Here is a 22,311-nt window from a genome sequence, read left to right as displayed (position 1 = left end):
GTTTTTGCATCCATTGATGATTCTTGTCCAAATTAATTTCCATTCTGTTGGTTGCCAAATGGTGATATTCTAATTCCATTTCTCTTTCTTTCTTTTCTCTCTCTCTCCTTTCTTTTTTTGAGACAGGATCTCGGTCTGTTGCTCAGGCTGGAGTGCAGTGGCACAATCACCGCTCACTGCAACCTGAACATCCTGGGCTCAAGCAATCCTCCCGCCTCAGCCTCCTGAATAGCTAGGACTACAGGCACATACTACCATGCCCGGCTAATTTTTGTAATTTTTGGTAGAGATGGGGTTTCACCATGTTGGTCAGGTTGGTTTCGAACTCCTGACCTTAGGTGATCCACCAGCCTTGGCCTCCCAAAGTGCTGGGATTATAGGGATGAGCCACCGTGCCCAACTTTTATTCTTGATATTCCCTTTGATTCTTTATTGCCCTCACTTTGGCCCATGGAAGTCCCTTCAGGCTGGTCCCTGTGTCCTTTCTCATCCTGAGCATCACCTCACTTTCTGGCTCAAGAAGATGCTCCAGGCTCATCTTGGACATTCCCTGCCCCAGGCCTGTATATTAGCTTCCTTTGACTGCCATCTCAAATTACCACAGATTTGGAAACAACAGAAACTATTCCCTTACAAATTTGGAGGCCAGGAGTCTGAAACCAATATTAATGGGATGAAATTAGCTATTGGCAGAACCACACTCCCTCCAGAGGCTCTAGGGGAGAATCTGTCTATTGCCCCTTCCAGCTTGGGGTAACTGCTGGCACTCCTTGACTTGTGACTGAATCACTGCCTCCATAGTCACGCTGTCTCCTCTTCTGTCTGTAATCTCCCCCGTCTCTCTCTTATAAAGACACTTGTGATGGCATTTAGGATCCACCTGGCTAATCCAGGATAATCTCCTCATTTAAAAATCTTTAACTTAATCACATCTGCAAAAATCCTTTTTCCAAATAAGGTAACATTTACAGGTTCCAGGGGTTAAGATGTAGATATCTTCGAGTGGACCAGTTTTAAAACTACCACATCCTGGAATCAGCTATTTCCTGATGGAGTCCTATTTCCTTTTAATAAAAAATAATATCTAGAAGCCATGATGTGGATGCTAGGTATGCTTATTGCTACTTGGGTGCCTTTACTTTCAGGCACTCGGTGCAGATAGAGCTAGGAAATTAGGTATATAGATAGATAGATATGTCTATGCATGTATATGTGTATCTCTATATATGTATATATTTATATATACACACATAATACACATAAATCTTTGTTATATATTTACATTAAAAACCAGGAGTTCACACCAATACTTTCAGTTCTATTCCAACACCACAGCATTTATTCTAGCCTTCTTTCATTCTATATTTGTAACTCAAATATAGATCTCTCCAACAGTGAGCGGCCTGGCTCCCATCATTTTCAATATGTTTACTTATTTGCTCAATTCCCCTGTAACCAATCTCCTGATCATACCAGCTAAATCTACTCAGCCCTGTTACTGCCAACCACACCAGCTTTAGGGGATGAATCCCATCAGCCCTAGGAAAGGGGAAGGGCGAAGAAACCTTTTAATAAAAAAAGAGGCACAATATGATTTTATTAGAGAAGTAGAAATGTCAGTGTTGAAGATAAACCTTTCTTCCATTAAGCTCAAGGCACCTTCATTTGTGATCGCACATTTGTTATGCTCAGAGACGTGTCCTTAAGTCCCAGAAATGAGAGAATGACTTTTATAATCCAACATCCTCAAGAGCTTCCCTCTTAAAGGCTTCAAGATGACAGTGAAAGGTTCAGAAATTCCCCAGCACAGCATACATAAACACATTTCATGCTGCATTTTCTCATCCTTAAAAAAATGTGCATTGCCAGACATGCTGAATCTCAAATTGCTTATAGATATACAATTTTTTCAGTTGGATGAACACCTTTATGCTTAAAAACCCTAGAAGACCCTGGGGGGAGCAATTTCAACATCCATGCAGAGACAATCACAGATGATTTTGCCCCTCACTAACTATCTCTCTGATGTTGTCAATGGGAGGAAGGATGGAGTTCAGCAGTGCCATTTATATTATGCTAGACAAACACTGGATTTATATTTCTATTGTGTGGCATCATTGTCTAACACCTAACATGGTTTTCCTGTGGGAAAGTCGAGATGGGGTGGTGAAGGCTGGGGTGGCAAGCAGAGGGAAATCAGTGGATTCAATGCATTTGAGTGCCTCTTCCGGACAAGGTTCTCCTCGCTTTCTGGATTTAAGAGTTGCTCTTTGCTCTCTAGTGAGAAAAAAGTTGGGGGTGGGGATCCCTATCTTAGCTGTTGCAATCCCTGGGCTGCTTCAGTGTTAATAACATTCCAAAAATGCAACAGATTTTGTTTTTGCTGCTATCGCGTATGCCAGGCATCTGGGGTGAGAGAAGGAAAATGGAAACCTGAAAGCGTGTGAAACTGTGGAATGATCGCGGTAGCTTTTGGTAGCAGGGACTGGGTCTAATTTTCCTGTGTCGATGACAAAGGTTCAGGAATCAAAGGGGAAAAAAATTAAAAAGGAATAAAAATCTCTGCTTACTACACATCAGTGTTCTAAAAAGACATATATCTGGACATAGAGGAAATGGCAAGGCGGATTTGCAATCATTAAGCCTTTTTTACAATGTCCATATTTGTGGTGTGGCCATAAAACAAAGAGAATTTCTTTAACACCAAACAACTTACTTAAACATTCAAAGGAATTGAATCCCTTCAAAGTGGCTACCCAGCCAGTCTGTGCACAATTCTAAGGAGAATGTGGTCGCTCAGAACATTTTGGAAACATCTTTTGGAGTGAACTTCAGAGTCATTTAACGAACCACACAAAATTGTAGGATAGTGACTATAGCAACAGTTTTTTTTCCCTCTAAAACTAGAACGGCCAGCCATTTATTATCCACTTCTATTCTCTTAATTTGACTTTAAAAGACAAGAGATTCTAAAAAAAAAAAAAAAATCATCCTAAAAGATCTCTAAGGAAAAGACATATCATTAGTGATAGTTCCAATCTTGGTAACTACTAGCTTCTTGAGATGTGCAGACATTTTGCATTCATTTTTTCTTATCTTTTTTCTCCTTTTACCATTGAGGAAACTGAGGCTTAGAAAGATGTTAAACAATTAGGTCAAAGCGGCAACAGCTAAAATGTGGCAGAATGTGATTTGCATCCAGATCACCTGCTTCCAAAGCTTATACTCCTTTCCGCTGCACTGAATGAGTACCTCCCAATTTTTGGAGCCAAGGTATTAGCCCCAGAAGCATGCGTATTTTAGCCCTAGAAGCATGGCCCCCAAAAGTGGCCATTTCAAAGTCATGATGCTCCTTTGCTTGCAAAAATTCTTATTTAATTTGTTTAAAATCTATTGTTTCATTGGTCTCATCTCATATTTCACATAGAAAATGTTTACAACTGAAATAATGGAAAGTTATCCATGAGTGAACATGGCAAATGTTAATATTACCATTTGGAACAATGAGTCTCAGGAACTGGAGATGGGAGGGGTGCTTGTGCTGACCCACAAGAATCTCAAGGGCAGTGGCTTGGGGCCTGATTTGAAAACAAAGCAGTGCTTTCTTCTTGTGCTTTTGTGTCCCCTGATATTTAATTTATTTTGAATTTCAGAAAATGAAAGAAGGGCATGAAACGTTTTAAAATTTATTAAAGGGCACAGGTTTTCAAAAGCTTGTAAAATATTATATAAGAAGACATCCATTTCAGTGTTATACATATCTTAGCCTTGGTACAAGAAAACACTGACTGGTAAAAGCTAGAAGTACAGAGGTCAAAGAAAACATATTTTTCAATACCCATTGTTTAATAATTCAATGCAAACCTTCCTATTACGCCTCTAAAAAAAATTTCCATTGTTCTGAGAGGAGAACTGGGGAGACGTTGCAGCCGCCTCTGGGCACTGAAGACACAGCTTGTGCAGTTCTAGGAGCCGAAGACGTTCAAACCTGCTCTCTTGTCCTGACTGCAACCCTGGTGGTGAGAGACAAATACTCTTGCACATCTGCTCGATAGACAGTTGTGGATGGTGGGGGATTCCTTCTGAACAGATTTGTAGCTGCTGTGTAAACAGCTGGGTTTAAGAAATAGCTCCATTTGCACTAGCCTATTGTTTGATTAAAGAATTTGAGTGTGTGGCCTTGCACCTCAAGAAGGCCAAAGGGATTGATTATTGGCTGGGTGAAATGCTACCTTTAAAAAGCACTGTAATCTCTTCTCGGCCTTTTGGCTAAGATCAAGTGTAAAGGGCACTGTATGTTCAGGGACTTCAATCTCACCCTCATTCTGCTTGAGTATTTCTGTCCCACTTGTCCTTCAGATTCTTCTTATTTTTATTATTTGTGGCTAGATGGGGTAAGATTCATAGGCTCCAGGGACCATATCTGTTTTATTTGCCAGTGTATACTCGGCATATAGCATAGTATTTGGCACATGGTAGGTACTCAGTGGATGAGTAAAGCAAATAATCTTGCTGTATCCTGCTTAGGGCTCTGTGCTGGTCATTGTCCAGAGTTTATTCAAGTTCATTGGGTTGAATTCCAAACGAAGCAGGAGAGTCCATTTTTAATGATACGTGGACAGGTTGCCACTGCCAGGCCCTTCTTATTACCATTTGGAAAGCAAACCACTGCTACCCCTTTCTGCTGCTGTCAACGGTATCCTCCCTAGCTTGTTAGAAAGAAATTGGCACTTTGATACACAAGGCTCCATCAATCCCTGCACTGGAAATGCAAAATCTGGATTCTCTCTAAGGCTAAATGTCTGGGGCTTGGACTCCTTGGGGTGGAGCCCTGGACAGTGGCCAGTGTCATCAGTATAGGCTGCAGAGACAGTTCTCCAGTGGGGGTCTTCAGTCCAAGCCAATAGGATGGCCACTTGATGGGTCTGAAAGGAAACCAGCTGCAAAATGGAAATTGACATGTTATAAACAGAGAAGGAGGAGACAAGGAAAGCCAAAGCTGAAGAGAGGCTTAAGCAGGAGAGAGGAGAAGGGAGGCTTGGAGAGAGCCAGGAGTCAGCACAAGACAAGGTCATGGAAGGACAAGGAACCCTTCCGGGCAAATCCCATCCATGCCGCCATTTTAACACAGAACAGGTGCTCCAGTCATATTTTCTGGGCTATAAAATGTCCAATACTACAAAGAGGGTATTTAAAGGAGAAGAATTAAACAAGAACTGATGCCACTGGGAACAGAGCGAGGGCATAGGACAATGGTTCTCATTAGAACCTTAAAATCACCTGGGAACTTTTGGGAACCCATGGATGCCACAGCCTGCCCCTGGAGATCCCGATTTAATTGGTCTGGAGTGGGGCTCAAACATCAGTGGGTTTACAAGCTCCCCAGGCAATTCTAATATGCAGCCAGGGGTGAGAACCACTGGCCTAGGAGATCAAGCAAAGGTGAACATCGAGCAGGGAGAAGATGCTTATCTACTAAGCTCCTTGTCCCACAACTGAGGACACTCACCTGCTGGCCTGGCTCACCCCAAGCACTGGGACCTAGTCCCAGCGTATTCCTAGTTCAGAGACATTTAAGAAAGCTGATTTTAGTGGCTCAGGTGACTGGTCCAATTGGAACAGATGCCTCAATTTTCTCCTTTTGCTAACCAGACTATGTCCTAAATCATTTGGAGCCTAAAAGACTTACATCATAAGCAGGATGATAGAATTGAATACAACACAGTAGTTTAACTTTAGACTAGTTAAACTAGTCTAACCCTAGTTAGACTAGGGTTGTCAGCAGCAAATAAGAATACAGAATGCCCAGTGAAATTTTAATTTCAAATAAACCGTGATAATTTTTAGTATGTCTTATGAAATATTTAGGACATAGTTATACTTACAAGTATTCATTTATCTGAAATTCAAATTTAACAGAGCATCTTGTATTTTAACTGGCAATCCGACTTTAGACTCAAATGCTGTGTTTTAATTTAAGAGCATGGCTAGCTTTTTAGAAAAAATGGAAAGGATTGGGTTACCATATATGAGTTGGATGGCTGTAGATATTGATTATCCAGAGACATCCACATTCACACCTGTTTTGCCAACATAACTAATAGTGCCCCCCTTCACTCTCAAAAGTGTCTAGTAGTTTGAATGATAAATTATATGGTCATCCTGTTACAGTAGGTAGCTAGTCAGACACAAACAGGACAGAAGAGGGTCCCCACACCCCACCGGGAAAGTCAGGCGACCATCGGGTGATGGTCAGGCCATTGTTAACTGTCTCTCTAAAATAATAATTGGTTGCAGCCAGCTCCAGGGAAAGGCAGTCTCCCTATAGATAGAAGAAACCTGAAACTGGTGATCATCAGCTTCCTGATAAGATCCCAGGAGTTGGGCGTGCGGACTCACACATGAGCACCAAGAGGCAAAATGGCGGAGTTTAACTGGTATTTGATCTTCTGGGGGCATGTCACCAGTAAAGGGAAGAATGTTTCAAGTGAGCATAAGTACAACTCCAGTAAACACACTGCGCATGCTCACCTCCCAAGTGCTAGCAGGTCACTACACATATGGACAAACCACCCTCAACGAAAGAATCAGGGGAGAAGACCCCAGAAGTATGCCAACATATAAAACCCTAAGTCAAACCACACTTGTCCTTCAAGTCGCCCACTTGGACCTCTTCTAAGTGTCCTTTCCTTCCAATCCTGCTCTAAAGCTTTTTAATAAACTTTCACTCCTGCTCTAAAACTTGCCTGGGTCTCTCCCTCTGCCTTATGCCCCGATTGAGGTTGCTGCCGACCCGTACGAATTCTCCACTGTTAACAATTCCATTCACAGTGACCCAAACTGTGAATACTTGGCTATACTCAGTAAGACAAGATTATACTTGGTTAGTCCTACATAAGAGATCTCTGGTTTTCTTTGTGGAAGCCTGAGGAAACAGAACGTGAACTCCACCCGGCTGTTACTGTTAAACCCATTCTAACTTGCTGACTCACTGTTGTCCTTCTCTGGCTAGACCCAGGGCATCCTAGGGCCTGCAGGAGGCTGGGAAGGCAAGTCTCCTCTCTGCCATAAGCATGCCCTGAACCCTGCTGGGAGTAGCTCTAAACCTTTACTCTCTCTTGGAGCGGGAGACTCCTTACTTGCCCACCAGAACTGAAAACGAAGGGAAGTAGCAGTAAAGCTGCTTTCATGTTTATCTATAGCTGGTGTCTTTAATCTGCCTGTAAAGGACCACTTGGCTAGAGGAAAAAAACATGTTCTCAGTTTTATCTTTGTGACTAGGAAATTAGTCTAACCAGATGAACACACTCAACACTAAACTGATTCTGCTGTTTGTTCTATTCTGTCACTCTGTCTGTGTCACTCTAACTATAGTGGCCTGCTCACATATCATGCCTTAGGCATTTCAGAAAATATCAGCCCTGGGCCATGGCCCTGATTCAGATATTTGTCCAGCCTTCCTCTCTGTGCACACCCCATCCGCTACTGAATACCTTGTGTCCCTTGACAGCCTCACTTCATATTCAGCACCTGATGGCAGCCTCAGGTTTGTCTCCTTGCTTTGATCACCAGGCTTTCTTCTCTGGGTTATCAAATTTGCCCCTTTTTCCACCTGTGCCTCTGCTTGACTTAGGGCTTTATAGATCCCTGAGTTACAGCATTCGTACAGCTCTAAGAGGCATAAAAGATACACCTGTTATCTTTGCTTTCATGGGACCCCTCAGGACGTTATACCTGAGACCCTCGATACCTTAGTTCCCTACCTATCACTTAACTGGGATAAACATTCTGTCTAGGTAACATCATTCACAGTATAGCCATATTATTCAAGTGTCCCAGACCTCACCATTCTGGGAGTACCACATATAGTCACAGTTCTTGTTCAGAACAGCAGTCAGTTCAGTCTTTTCTCTTCTTTCTGTACCTCTCCCCCAAAATGCCTGAGTTACTTCCCTTGTCTGCATATTGGCCTCCATACAGCTGCCTCCTGAAAAGAAAATAGGAGCTCTGATGAGTACTTGCAAGCCAATCTCCATACCTACTGATTTCCAGACTGACCAGAAAGCCTTGCTGCCATAGCCAAAGTGGATGGCTGGTCCTCCTGCTGACACCTGCGCAGTCTAGGAAGGCCAAAAAGGAAAAGCGAACTCTATTTTTTTTTTTTTTTGAGATGGAGTTTCACTCTTCTCGCCCAGGCTGGAGTGCAGTGGTGCAATCTCAGCTCACTGCAACCTCAGCATCCCTAGTTCAAGCAATTCTCTTGCCTCAGCCTCTCAAGTAGCTGGGATTACAGGTGCTCACCATCATGTCCGGCTATTTTTTGTATTATTAGTAGAGATAGGATTTCACCACTTTGGCCAGGCTGATCTCAAACTCCTGACCTCAGGTTATCTGCCAGCCTCTGCCTCCCAAAGTGCTAGGATTACAGGCGTGAGCCGCTGCACCTGGCCAGAACTCTAATTAAAAAAAAAATAAAATTAAAATTATTATGACCATACCCACTTGCTGGTCTTCGATTTTCCAGACCAACTTGTTGGGGTTTTATCTTCCCACTGAGCCTTAGGGGCACCTACAGCTTCTCACAGATCAAGATGAACAATGACAGAGAAAGTTCTCCCAGACAAGCCTCAGCCAGGCTGAGTACCCAACCACTCCAGGCAAAGCAACTGCTCTGAGCTGCCAGATAACCCGATGCTGAGAGCTGTCAGCATGTGTAGATATCCATGGATCTCCTGTTCCCCAAATCCCTGCTGTGTGCTCCACCCATCTCCTGCAACACCACCTGTTACCCTGACTGGATTGTTCTGACAGCAAATGCCAGGTCCCTAATGCCCACTGCATCCTCTGTGGTCATGGTGATTCCCCTCCTTGGCCACTTCTTGCCATAACTGCAGCTGGGGCTGCCACTAAGTATCTGGTCACTACTGTGGTTTGGGTTTGGTCTTTCCAAGTACCCTTCAGTCAAATGCCTTCGAGCAACCCTTCCAACAGTATGCTGGGGTAAAAAACAACACAGATGGAAAAGAGGAGCATGCTCAGGCAGGAGCAACTGAGAGGTGCCAGGGAAGAGCAGAGCAAATATACCAGATAACCCTGGTTCCTGATAGCCTTTTTGTGCCCTTTTCTATTATCACTAATTCACTGAGCCTGGAATGCAGTGACTCAAGCCCCACCGTAGGACTGAAAATAGAAAGGCCAATTCAGATTTTCCCTACCCTAAGATGACTTACCATATAAAACCTTTAAAAAATGTAAGCGTGGCGTTCTTTGGTATTCCTAGAACAAGTTGAATTCAGCAGATATTTAAACATAATTTAATTTGCCAAAAACTATACACTTCTAAAAGGAGTTTGATTACTATGTAAGTTACTAACTATAGAAGTATTATTTTATAAGCTGTTAGGTTAGTACTAACATAATTTGTTGGAGGGCAAAGTTGCAACAGCTTGTAAACTAAGTAAATACTGCTGAACATTTAGTGGGCTGAATGTTCTCTCTGCTAACTTAGCCAGTAAAGGTGTAGGTTATACAAAGTCATTTCTAATGTATGTGAACTATGTAGATCTATAAAATAAAACCATTTCAGTAATTGCTGGGCCAGAGAAGAGACATATCTTTATTTCTTTGGAACTCTGAGGTACAGCTAAAAATCCAAATGCCAGGTATCTCTAAATATAACTTCTAGTGTATCTGCTCTTTTTGAGACACCCTAGGAGGAACAGCTAAACAGTAGGGTAATGCCCTGTGCACTCTAGACTTTGTATGATCCTGGTTCTATGACCTCGCATTCCTGTAGATTCTAACTACCTCCTGGCTGGCACAGTGCCTCCCAGGAACTGCCCTTGCTCTGAAGAGATACACAGTTCTTATATCGAGTGCTTGTGGGCTTCATTTTCTGAACTCCTCGATATCACCTACTTTATCTCTGTGCCTCACCCTCATTCTCTTGATCCCTTTCACCTCCACCCTGGATGCCCTTACATTCTTATTTTGTTTTGCTCCCTCAGCTCATATCTTGGGGAGACAAAATAGCATTTTGATTCCATTTCTGCCACTTACTAATTCTTGTCAACTTACCCTCTCTAAGCCTCACTTTTTTCCTCTGTAATAATACTAATGTATCTTCTCATATGGTTATTATGAAGGTTAAAGGAGACAAAGCATGGAAGATGCTTAGCAAACTGCCTGGCACATAGTAACCACTAAATCAATGTTAGCTATTATTACTATTATTTTGCTTTCCTGAGGTGGCTATAGTTTCAGTCATTCTTTTTTTTTTTTTTTTTAAATGGAGTCTGGCTCTGTCACCCAGGCTGGAGTGCAGTGTCGTGATCTTGGCTCACTGCAACCTCCGCCTCCCAGTTTCAAGTGATTCTCCTGCCTCAGCCTCCTGAGTAGCTGGGATTACAGGCACACACCACCACGCCCAGCTAATTTTTGTATTTTTAGTAGAGACGGGGTTTCACCATGTTGGTCAGGCTGGTCTCGAGCTCCTGACCTCGTGATCCACCCACCTCGGCCTCCCAAAGTGCTGGGATTACAGGCATGAACCACCGTGCCCGGCCGGGTTTTTCTTTTCCACTGCATTGTCAGGCTGCAAATTTTCTGAACTTTTATGCTCTGTTTCCCTTTTAAAATGGAATGCTTTTAACAGCACCCAAGTCACCTCTTGAATGCTTTGCTGCTTAGAAATTTCTTCCACCAGATACCTGAAATTGTCTCTCTTAAGTTCAAAGTTCCACAAATCTCTAGGGCAGGGGCAAAAATGCTGCCAGTCTATTTGCTAAAACATAACAAGTGCTTTGCTCCAGTTCCCAATAAGTTCCTCATCTCCATCTGAGACCACCTCAGCCTGGACCTTATTGTCCATATCACTATCAGCATTTTTATCAGTCATTCACCAAGTCTCTAGGAGGTTCCAAACTTTCCCACATTTTCCCGTCTTTTTCTGAGCCCTCCAAACTGTTCCAACCTTTGCCTGTTGCCCAGTTCCAAAGTTGCTTTCACTTTTTGGGGTATCTTTTCAGCAACGCCCCACTCTACTGGTACCAATTTACTGTATTAGTCCGTTTTCATACTGCTGATAAAGACATACCTGAGACTGGGAAGAAAAAGGTTTATTTGATTGGACTTACAGTTCCACGTGGCTGGGGAGGCCTCAGAGTCATGGCAGGGTGTGGGGGTGGTGAAAGGCACTTCTTACATGGCAGTGGCAAGAGAAAACGAGGAAGAAGCAAAAGCAGAAACTCTTGATAAACCCATCAGATCTCGTGGGACTTATTCATTATCACGAGAATAGCACAGGAAAGACCAGCCTCCATGATTCAATTACCTCCCCCTGGGTCCCTCCCACAACGCATGGGAATTCTGGGAGATACGATTCAAGTTGAGATTTAGGTGGGGACACAGTCAAACCACATCAACATGGAAGGAAGCAGTAGAGATAAGTCTTACATGATCACTTCATGATCACAAATGCCAAATTTTATTAAATCAAGAAGCACAGGCTAGGCACAGTAGCTAACACCTGTAATCCCAAATTTTGGGAGGCCAAGGCGGGCGGATTGCTTGAGCTCAGGAGTTCAAGACCAGCCCGAACAATATGACAAAACCCAATCTCTACAAAAAAAAATATAAAAAATTAATTGGGTGTGGTGGCACACACCTGTAGTCCCAGCTACCCTGGAAGCTGAGGTAGATCACCTGAGCCCAGGAGTTCAAGCTGCAGTGAGCTGTGATTGCACCACTGCACTCCAGCCTGGGCGACATAGTGAAACCCTGTCTCAAAAACAAAAACAAAAAAGTACATTTTGAGGGTTTTTATCATAAATGTCAAACTCAGGATGATCTAATGTTGATCTTATCAAGAATAGCAGCTATGAAATTCTCCAAATGGGTACACTGAAATACTTATTTATTTATTTATTTTTGAGATGGAGTCTCATTCTGTCACCCAGGCTGGAGTGCAGTGGCGCGATCTCGGCTGACTGCAACCTCCGCCTCCTGGGTTCAAGCGATTCACCTGTCTCACCTTCCTGAGTAGCTGGGATTACAGCTGCCTATCAACATGTCGGCTACTTTTTTGTATTTTTAGTAGAGGCAGGGTTTTACCATGTTGGCCAGGCTGGTCTCGAACTCCTGACCTCAAGTGATCTGCCCACCTCAGCCTCTCAAAGTGCTGGGATTACAGGTGTGAACCACCGTACCTGACCTGAAATACTTTTATAGTCAGTAATGCTTTCAGCTGATTGTTGACTCCATTTATGAAATTTAAATCTAAATAGTAACCCATGAAACTGCAGAGAATTATGCTTTCTATAATCCTACAAATTCATCTAATATTAGTCTAAGTTAAAGTGGTAGTTGGGGGAGACTTTACTATGACTTGGGTTTGAGCCGCCACAAATTTTTCTGTTTGGAGAATAGCATGCTTTCATTCATGGCCCATTTGTTCACTTTGAGATAGAATGGAAGCCTCTTTGTATGTCATTTCCAGAAAATATTGACATTGGCCACCAAGCGTCTATGTTAAGCATGGTGCTTATGTGATCATTTTAAACTCTTTGATATTCTACCTGTTGAGAGGTTGGATCTATGTCCCTTTACTTGAATCTGGGCAAGTATAGACAATAGAGTTTGGTGAAAATTCTTTTGCAAGATTAGGAATAGGGTGAATCAGGGGAGGTGCCTAGGGTGCAAAATTGATAGGCACTCACTATTAGGGCCATGAAAGTGCAGGTATTAATGTGTGATACAAAAATCCTTATGCATGTGCCCATGTCTACATCCAGCCACATGCCCTCACCCCAGACCTCCTGGTCTTCAGTCATTTTGTCTTTTTTCTTCTTCTAAGCCCCTGATCAGATCCACTCTCTGGGAACCTGTATGTATTCTTACCTGGAATGCCTTCTTCCACATACACTGGATGCCAGGTATACTGCTCTCTGGACCACCCATTAGGAAGATTTTCCCTTTTCAACTGTCTTTCAAGGCCACCCCTTAAAACACCCACAAATAAAACTCACCAGTTTATAAGCTAAACTTAGGCAGGTCTTTCAGCTGGTCCAGTGGGATCTATATGATCACAACTACAACTCAGTGCAACTATGGTGGGTGACATGGGGCTCTAGGCTACCTGGTCATGCAGCTGTCTCATACCCTCAGGTCCTGCCTGGGCTCAATCCTGATTGTACCACTGTTAACTTATGCTGCTTTGCTGGGACTATCTGACTTTATGACTTGGTGTATGTGACAAACCCAGCTCATAGTTAACAGTTCCAGAATCATAGTCACTTGGTGTTTCATGATTAGGTGCTCTATCCCTGCTAGTAACACACCAAGAGCTGTTTTTCAAAGGGCACATTGTTTCTGATGTAGATGGCGTGAACTTACTCCAGAATCTCAGAGGTCTGCACTGGGGTGATTCTTTCTGGAGCTTGCCATGAACTTCTTACTGCATGTTTCCTTACCTATGATACTTCCAATAACATAAGATCTGATAGATTATGTGGCCCAGGTGGCAGGGTTGATTGCAGCAAAGCCTGGACTTGCTGCGAGTCTTTCTGCTCTGGGCTCTACTCAAAAACTGGAAACCTTTGGTGTCACCTTGAATATTGGCTGGAGCAACATTTCTAGGTGTGAAATGTGTTGCTTCCAAAACCCAAAGTGGGCAGACCAGGAGCTGTGTTTTCTTCCTTTTGGTAGAGAATGCAAAGTGCAGCAATTTCTTTTACTTTGGTTTCATTGATCTTCCCTATTCTTCTTTTGCCTCTCCTATAACGGATAAAGTTGAATGTAATAAACCCATTACCAGGTGGCTGCTGGGTCCCCCCAGGAACTCCGCGTTGGTCCCTGCTGTTGGCAAATGAGGCACTTAACAATGGCAGTAGCCATATCGACCTTGGTGAGAAGTTGGTATAGTTGAGCCCACAACTACTTAGGGCATGGACCCATCGAGTAAGGACTGGAGCGTCTGAGAGCCACAGAATACTTCCACCTATCACTTTGATTTTTTGATGGCCTTCTCTGCAGTGAGCATACACAAGGGAAACAAATATCCTCATACCCCATGCCCGCTTTAAGATGTCTATCCTTATGCCATTTTCCTGTTCTCCAATCACCAATCTTCCAATCCTGTTCTTTCCAATTCTCTGACCACCCATCCACTGTCTATGAATGACTGCCTATTTGCAGTCCTGACAGGGTGGGTAACCAAATGTACTTCTCTCAGTTTTGCCTATTGGAAGAATTTCTCTTTACTACCCTCTTACATGCACCTGATTTGGGCTGTAATGCTGAAGCAGCCTACTTCTGGAACCATTTGTAAACTAAATATGAGTTTTTCTCCCTCAGTCAGCTGATTAAAAGAAACTCCCCATGACACCATAAGGTTTGTACTGAGAAACAGGAGGCAATGCCACAGGACTAGGTGCTACATGAGTCTAAGGCACTGCTCATGCAACTTACTTGTGTTTTTAGGATCTTCTTGAGTCCTATCTCATTATTATTTTCATGTAGTGATAGATTGGTGCTGAGTATACTCCCAACTTAGAACCTGCTGGACCAGATACCACCAAGTTTGTGATAAGCATCTTGGTTTACATTGTCACTTGTTGCCTGTAGCAAACTGCAATAGCAAGTGAGGAATTGTTTCATGGGATGAGAATTGTCATCTTAAGAAGAGAACACAGCTTTGCCCACAAATCCTAGCAGTCTGCACTGTGACTCTCTTGTTGGAAGTTGCCAAAAGTGTCCCTATTTGCCACAGATACTTTGAGTACCACTGGATCTGCCAGGTCATATGACCACAAATTGCTGTAGAACCTTCTCTTCTTTTGAGCCCCATTCAAAACTGGCAGCCTTTGGGTTATTCAGTAAACAGCTTGTAGTAACCCACCAAAATTAGGTGCATATTACCTCTAAGATCCATAAAAAGATGCATTTTCATGAGGTTTATATCATGCTACTCTATAGCATGCATGTGTTTAGCTAATGTCTTTGGTGCTTGCTATCTCCTGCTGCTCAGGCCTAATTAGCAAATTATCAATTAATGGAGCATCATAATGTTACATGGAGTGGTAAGATGACTAAGGTATCTTCAGCCTAGATGATTGCAGAAAGCAAAAGTGTTGATATAACCTTGAGGCAAATCTTTGCCAATTGGAAACAAACCTTTGCTGGTGGGTCTTTTAAATTGATTTGGAGAAAAAAGCACTCACGAGATCAATAGCTGCATATTGGGAGCCAAGGTCTGAGATGATTTGCCCCAATATATATACCAAATTGGGAAAAACAGCTGCAAAACAAAAAGCCAATTAATTTATAATAATCTATAGTCATTCTCTAAAATGTATCTACCTCTTGCACAATCCAAACAGGTGCGTTAAATGGGGATGTGATAGTGATCACTGCCTTGGGATCTTTCCGGTTTTGGATGGTATCAATAAAATTGACAGTTGCCCCCGGGGTGCAGTATTGGTTTTCATTTACTATTCTGATTAGGAGAGAATGCTCCAAGATGCTCTACTTGCTGTTCCTACTATGATAGCCCCACCTCCATGGGTCAGGAAGCCAATGTGGATATTCTGTCAGTTGCCTAGCATGTCTATTCTGATTATACATTTAGGAACTTGGAAAATAACCACACATGGGTCCATGGATCTACGGGGCTCACTGTGGGATGGACTTATGCCAAAATGTCATTTGTTTACCTGACCTCCATATTCCCCCTGGTGGGCTTCTGGGTCCTCAGAGATCAGCATCAAGTTAGAACCTGTATTAATTTCCTAGGGCTGCAATAACAAATTACCACAAATTTGGTGGTTTTAAACAACAGAAATATATTCTCTCATAGTTCTGGAGGCCAGAAGTCTAAAATTAAGGTGTTGGCAGGGCTACTCTCCCTCCAAATGCTGTAGGGGAGGATCCTTCCAGCTTCTGTTGGCTCCTGGTAGCTCTTGGCAGCTCCTAGAAGTCCTTGGCTTATGGCTGTATAACTCCAAACTTTGCCTCCATCTACACATGGCCTTCTTCCCTTACTCTCTAGCTCATAAAAGAGTATTTTCATAGATTTGGGTCCTCCGCTAATCCAGTATGACCTCATTTTGACTGTTACTTTATAATAACATCTGTAAAGATGTTATTTCCATATAGATCACATTCTGAGGTTCCAAGTGGAAGTGAATTTGGGGGGACATTGTTCAACCTACTACAGAGCCAGTGTCTCATAATTTCATAAAATTATGGGTTTTTTCCCTTTTTCCTATGTACAAGCAGTCTAGTAAGTGAATGTAGATCCTTTGTAGAAGGGTTATAGGAAGATTTATACTATCTTTTTGTTGCAGCATTGTAGTATTCTTCTTCAAAATGGCCCAATCTCCTTTTCAGCCAAGGGGCTGTGGATCGCTGAATTGGCTTAGATATGGCAACTGACTGAGGGGACACATGAAATTAATTCTGGGGGCAACAAACACTAAATTACTGCAGCATACATCTAAAAGAACTTCAAAAGACATTTTTTAAAATAGCTAAATTTAGGTTGCAGAATTTTTCAGTATACTGAACAGTTGGCATGGAACTGGCTGCTTTGGTTCATGAAGGGTATAGTTGCAGCCGGGCACAGTGGCTTACGCCTGTAATCCCAACACTTTGGGAGGCCGAGGCGGGTGGATCACCTGAGGTCAGAAGTTCAAGAACAGCTGGCCAACATGGTGAAATTCCGTCTCTGCTAAAAATAAAATAACTAGCCAAGTATAGCGGTGGGTGCCTGTAATCCCAGCTACTGGGAAGGCCGAGGCAGGTGAATAGCTTGAACCCAGGAGGCAGAGGTTGCAGTGAGCCAAGATCTCACCACTGCACTCTAGCCTGGGCAACAGAGTGAGACTCTGTCTCAAAAACTAACTAACTAACTAACTAAATAAATAAATAAATAAATAAATAAATAAATAGTATAGTTGCAAAACAAGTAGAGCATAACAGTTAAAATAACAAAAAGAAAAAATGAACAGAAACAAAAAACAAGGCAATAGCCCATAGCCCACCAGGCTTTATCATACTTTCTTACCCTGAGCTCCTAATTATGTTTTCCTTTGTCTTGATCAAACTTTGGATGAAGGAGTGTACCAGCTGTGCAGATGCCCAGGGCACCTATTAATAAGTAGGCAAGAAAACATCAATAGAGTACATTGGCTATATGGTGGCAGTTAATGCAGGTCTCCACAAGAGAATTTTTATATAGTTGGCTAAAATAAAATTCAGTCGTACTCTCATCAAACTAGATAGTAATCTCAAGTGGAAATTTTAAAATATTTCTCTCCCACAAAATAAATATTGAATCAACATCTAAAGAGCATTGGTTTGAAGAGGGACTAAATTATTAGCCTTCCGGACCTGTCTTGGTCTAGTCTTGCCTACCTGCCCTTGTCCACACTATGACTCTCAACTGGTTTTCTTTATGTCCTAGCTATTATCAAAATTCCTCTTGAGTTAATCTCTTTTCCATTTGGTGTCCTGGTAAATACTTGCAGGGTATTTAAAGTAACAGGCCTTAAAATGTGGAATTTGCTGAACTGAGTTTGCTAGCACCTCCCTCTTTCTCTAGAGGGAAGATGGCAACCCTTTCAGAAGATAGCAAAGCAACTGGTTGAATTGTTCCCTATTGTTTCATGGGGTTCAGACAATGTGCCTCCTAAGGCTGGAAATTTAGAGCACTTTGTAAAAAGGTATCAGGTAGGATTTTGGATATGTTGGCTGCTTCTGAAAGCTTTCAATTATGTCTTAAAAAAAAACTTCTATATTAACTGGTCCATCTGAGAACAGAAAGAAAAAATAGGCAGTTTTATTAAAGAGAAGCCCTTTCTGCATGGCCAGAAAAGTCATGCACCTTACAGAATTGTCAAAGCTGAATTTTCTGGTCCAATCTAAAGTTAGTGTGAACAAAGTCAAGCATGCTGACTCATCATAAGGAATCGTAAGACAAAGCCCTGGGTAGAGCCAGAGTAATGGGAAGGACATGGTCCCCAAGTCACTATGGGTCACCATATAACACAGTGTCCAGGCTGTGTTAAAATGTATGGAGCATTGACACACCAAGGGCAAGGGTGGTTGGAGCAGTTCACCCCAGATGCAGACAATAAAATGATGCATTGTCTGTAGAGAATATGGAAGTGTAAATGCCTGTACTTCTGAGGAATCATTAAAGCTCTCTTCTGCTGCAGAGCATGTCTTTAACCCTGTGGAACACATGTTCCTGTCTTTAAAAAGTAGATTTGAAATTAACTAGAAAAGTATAGCAATTGTAAAAGTCAAAAAAAAAAGAAAGAAAGAACTTGAGATACTTCAATTCTGTCATTCTATGTGACATTTTGGAATGTTTATTTCTGCTTAAAATTGAAAAACACTGAAACAGAATGAACTGCAAGGTGTAATTTTATTGTTGATAAGTATAAACTGTAGTTCATACCTGAAACATTTTACTGATTTTGAATATCTTTAAAATAGAAATGTATTTTCCTTTCTTGATTATTAATTATTTTAAAAACTGAAGAATGGATCAAGAAAATAAAATATGACATTTTGGCTAGGCACGATGGCTCATGCCTATAATCACAGCAGTTTGGGAGGCCGAGGCAGGCAGATCGCTTGAGCTCAGGAGTTTGAGAGCAGCCTGGGCAACATGGCGAAACCCCATCTCTACTAAAAATACAAAAATTAGCCAGGCATGATGGTGTACCTGTAGTGCCAGCTAGTCAGGAGGCTGAGGCAGGAGGATCACTTAAGCCAGGGAAGCAGATGTTATAGTGAGCTGAGATTGCGCCACTGCACTCCAGCCTGGGTGACAGAGAAACACCTTGACTGAAAAAAAAAAAAAAAAAAAAAAAAATATATATATATATATATATATGCCTTATGATTTCAGTTTTATTAATATTTACTGATTAGCTAGTGGACACTTATGTACATAATGTACTATTATATCATACTGTAACCAAACGGTCAAAGTTTAAACTGCTAGGGAAATATAAACATTATTGAATAAATATTGTGCCTCTTTTTTTTTTAGTATTATAATTTTTTTTTTACTGACATGATTACATCTATAACGTTCAATAAAAGAAAATTTTCACCTTCTGCATTTCTATTCTGATCATTACTATTGTTTGTTTCATTTCATAAGGATTACCAAAAATAGCTTCATCGTATAGAGGAGGGGAGTGTTTAAAATGACTGTTCTGGGCATCAAATGTAGTTGGGCATTAAGTGAGTTGATAATATGGAAGCTCTGTGATAGGTTCACGGAGGTTTATTATACTACCTTCTCTACTTCGACACATTTTTTCATAATAAAAAGTTTTTAAAAATTATGGAGACCAAATGCAAGCTATTGAGTGCTTATATCTGGAGGCATCACAAGGTTGGGATTATAAATGTAGCCAGCAGTGGGATGAAACAGTAAATAGAGACTGGACCTGAGTGAATTCCTGGACAGACATTATTTAATGTGCCTGCTTGAGTATAGTGAACGCAAAGGTAGCTACATTCAAAAAAGAATGGAACAGATTGAGAGAAATTCATAATTGTTAATATGAGGTTGGAAATTACAAAAGTAGTTCCAAGATTATTACTATTGTGCGTACCCTTGGGATTCTAGAGACCCCAGGATGAAAGAATCTAGAATAGCTATATAAATTGTTATTTTCCTTTGTGGACTATATCCAAGAAGTTAATTAGGGTAAAGGGAATAGCAATAATTGAGGCCCACCAATAACAGCGGGAACTGAAGAGTTCCAGTGGTAATCTTCCTCTGGAGCCTGCTTTAATTAATTAGATCCTTTATAATCATAGGAGTTATCATATCCCAGTAAAGTAAAATTCCTGAAAGCCTAAAATAAAGAACAAAGAACCAGGGCTGTAGAGTCCAGAGTAAAGGCCAGTCGAGACAACAGTGATGATGTCTGCTTCATTGCTTCCTCTCAGTACAGCCATGCCATGTGTAGTAATTTCCAAGAATCTGCATTTGTAGGACTGTTTGCTAAACGCAGGGTCTCCTGTTGAGATGTATCGAATTGCAGTTTTTTTTTTTTATGTTCTGAGAAAACAAGCTATTTGTAAATAGATTTCAATTTAATAGGTTTCTGGGTTGTTTCCTTAGAACCAATTTTTTTTTTTTTTTTTTTTGAGACAGGGTCTCGCTCTGTCGCCAGCCTGGAGTGAAGTGGCATGATCTTGGCTCACTGCAATCTCCGCCTCCCAGGTTCAAGCGATTCCCTTGCCTCAGCCTCCAGAGTAGCAGGGACTACAGGAGCGCACCAACGTGCCCAGTTAAATTTTTTTTTTTTTTTTTTTTTTTTGTATTTTAGTAGAGACAGGGTTTCACCATATTGGCCAGGATGGTTTCCATCTCCTGACCTTGTGATCCACCCACCTCGGCCTCCCAAAGTGCTGGGATTAAAGGGGTGAGCCACCACGCCCGGCCAGAACCAATTTTTTACTGTTATCTTTGTTTACTTCACGGTAAGCTTTGCTCCATATTAGCCCCAAGGGAAGGCTGGTTGGGTAGCCCTTTGACTAAAAGTTTTGGATGATGATGGGAAAAGAGTAAAATCACACCATAGCCCAACAAACTCCTTAGAATCCAGTAGCACATATTTCTGTTCTAAACAGTAAGTGGTTGGCCAGCCCTTTGACTGAGCATCTTGCGCTAGCCCTGGCTTCCACCTTACTGGGCTTTGTATCTCTTAATCTCTTCCCTCTCTTTCCTATTTTCCCTGCCAGTTAGCACTCTTATATTGAATCATAGAATTTTAGAGGCTATAGGTGCTTTAGAATTAATTTAATCCAAACCTCTCATTTAATAAATGAGGACACGGAAGTCCTGAGAGGTGGGGCAATTTGCCTGAGACATCTCAGCAAGGCTATGACAGAGCTGGACCTAAAAATGAGGTTTTGCTTCCTAATCTAGGACTCCTGCACAAAGCTGTGCTGTTGCCATGGTTCTGAAACTAGCAAGTCAGACAGATTTGAGGTGCTTATGGATGGATGAATGCACAGCATCAAACAATAGCTCTGTCGATGAAAAGAAAACCTGGCTGATAATTGAAGCCGCTGAACCACAAGCGGGTGAAAGAAGTAAAAGGCTCTGTGGGCTGCTGCCCCACTTGGGAGATTGGGGGAGGAGGGCAGGAGGAGTTGAAAGTGGATGGACAGAGACTTGGGTGAGGCCCTGGCTCCACTGTGTCCCAGATGGATCATGTGGGAAGCCCTTTGGTTGCGTGACACTGTTGTAGGCACCCTGTGGATTTTACATCACCCAAAGCTATAAATGGTTTGCACGAGGGGAAAAAAAAAAAAGAATTACAGGTCTCCCACAGCCCACAAAAATATGCTCCACCTAAAAAGAAGCCCATAATTTGGCTGCATCCAGCCGGGTTAGACAAAATTGGAGCCAAGGTTGCCCTGGATTGTCCTGAGAGGTGGCCTAGCATTAGCAGGAACGAAAGAAATGTGAAATTGCTCACAATGGACTAGATTTTCTTCATAGGCAAAGCTCTAATAGTTACACAGCGAGACCCTTGGCATCAGCCAGGTTAGGTCTACTAGCTACATTAAAATCACTCCAAGCTATTATTTATAATTTCATACCATCTCACATTTGCAAATTGCCTAGTGACTAATTGAGGCAGTTTCTTACAACAATTCTGAGCGTGAGGTTCAGATTTTAACCCTTCTTTTACTAAGACACAAATAAATTGAGACAAATAATATACATCAACCATAAAAATACCTGAACAGTCTATTCATTTTGGCCATGGCCTGAGTTCTGTGACTTGGCCTGCTCTTGGGTGACCAAATGTTCCAGTTTGCCTGGGACCAAGGTGTTTCCTGGGATGTGGGACTTACAGTGCTAAAACCCAGACAGTACTGGGAAAACTGAGGCAATTGGTCACCTTAAACCCTGTGCATGGCACTAATACTTGGCAATTTCTATCTGCATATCTTAAATGAATATGGGTCTATATTTTTTTATCCTAATCTGTCTTATATGGCTGTGTTTAAGAAGGCAGAGCCTGAAACTGGGTTTTTTGCTGCCTTAAAATCCCTTAGGCCGGGCGCAGTGGTTCATGCCTGTAATCCCAGCACTTTGGGAGGCTGAGGCGGGTGGATCACCTAAGGTCAGGAGTTTGACACCAGCCTGGCCAACGTGGTGAAACCCCTTTTCTACTAAAAATACAAAAATTCCCCAGGCATGGTGGCACACGTCTGTAATCCCAGCTACTCGGGAGGCTGAGGCAGGAGAATCGCTTGAACCCGGGA

At 42.1% G+C, this 22,311-nt stretch overlaps 1 long non-coding RNA gene and 1 pseudogene across 2 annotated transcripts; one reads left to right on the top strand and one right to left on the bottom strand.

Annotated features, from left to right (window-relative positions):
* Nucleotides 1-3,672: 3,672 nt before the first annotated feature.
* OVAAL (ovarian adenocarcinoma amplified long non-coding RNA) lies at nucleotides 3,673-11,227 on the bottom strand. 2 transcript variants are annotated; one of them, NR_125716.2, is made up of 3 exons: nucleotides 11,136-11,227; nucleotides 7,847-7,987; nucleotides 3,673-4,940 (listed from the first exon to the last, which is right to left on the bottom strand). It is a non-coding gene; the product is annotated as an ovarian adenocarcinoma amplified long non-coding RNA (long non-coding RNA). The 2 variants fall into 2 exon arrangements; NR_185874.1 differs by lacking the exon at nucleotides 11,136-11,227 and adding an exon at nucleotides 8,499-8,673.
* LOC124904658 (uncharacterized) lies at nucleotides 4,250-4,467 on the top strand (annotated as a pseudogene).
* Nucleotides 11,228-22,311: the final 11,084 nt, after the last annotated feature.

This window comes from Homo sapiens, chromosome 1, assembly GCF_000001405.40.
Source record: "Homo sapiens chromosome 1, GRCh38.p14 Primary Assembly".
NCBI lineage: Eukaryota > Metazoa > Chordata > Mammalia > Primates > Hominidae > Homo > Homo sapiens.
This window is presented reverse-complemented; position numbering and strand designations above follow the sequence as displayed.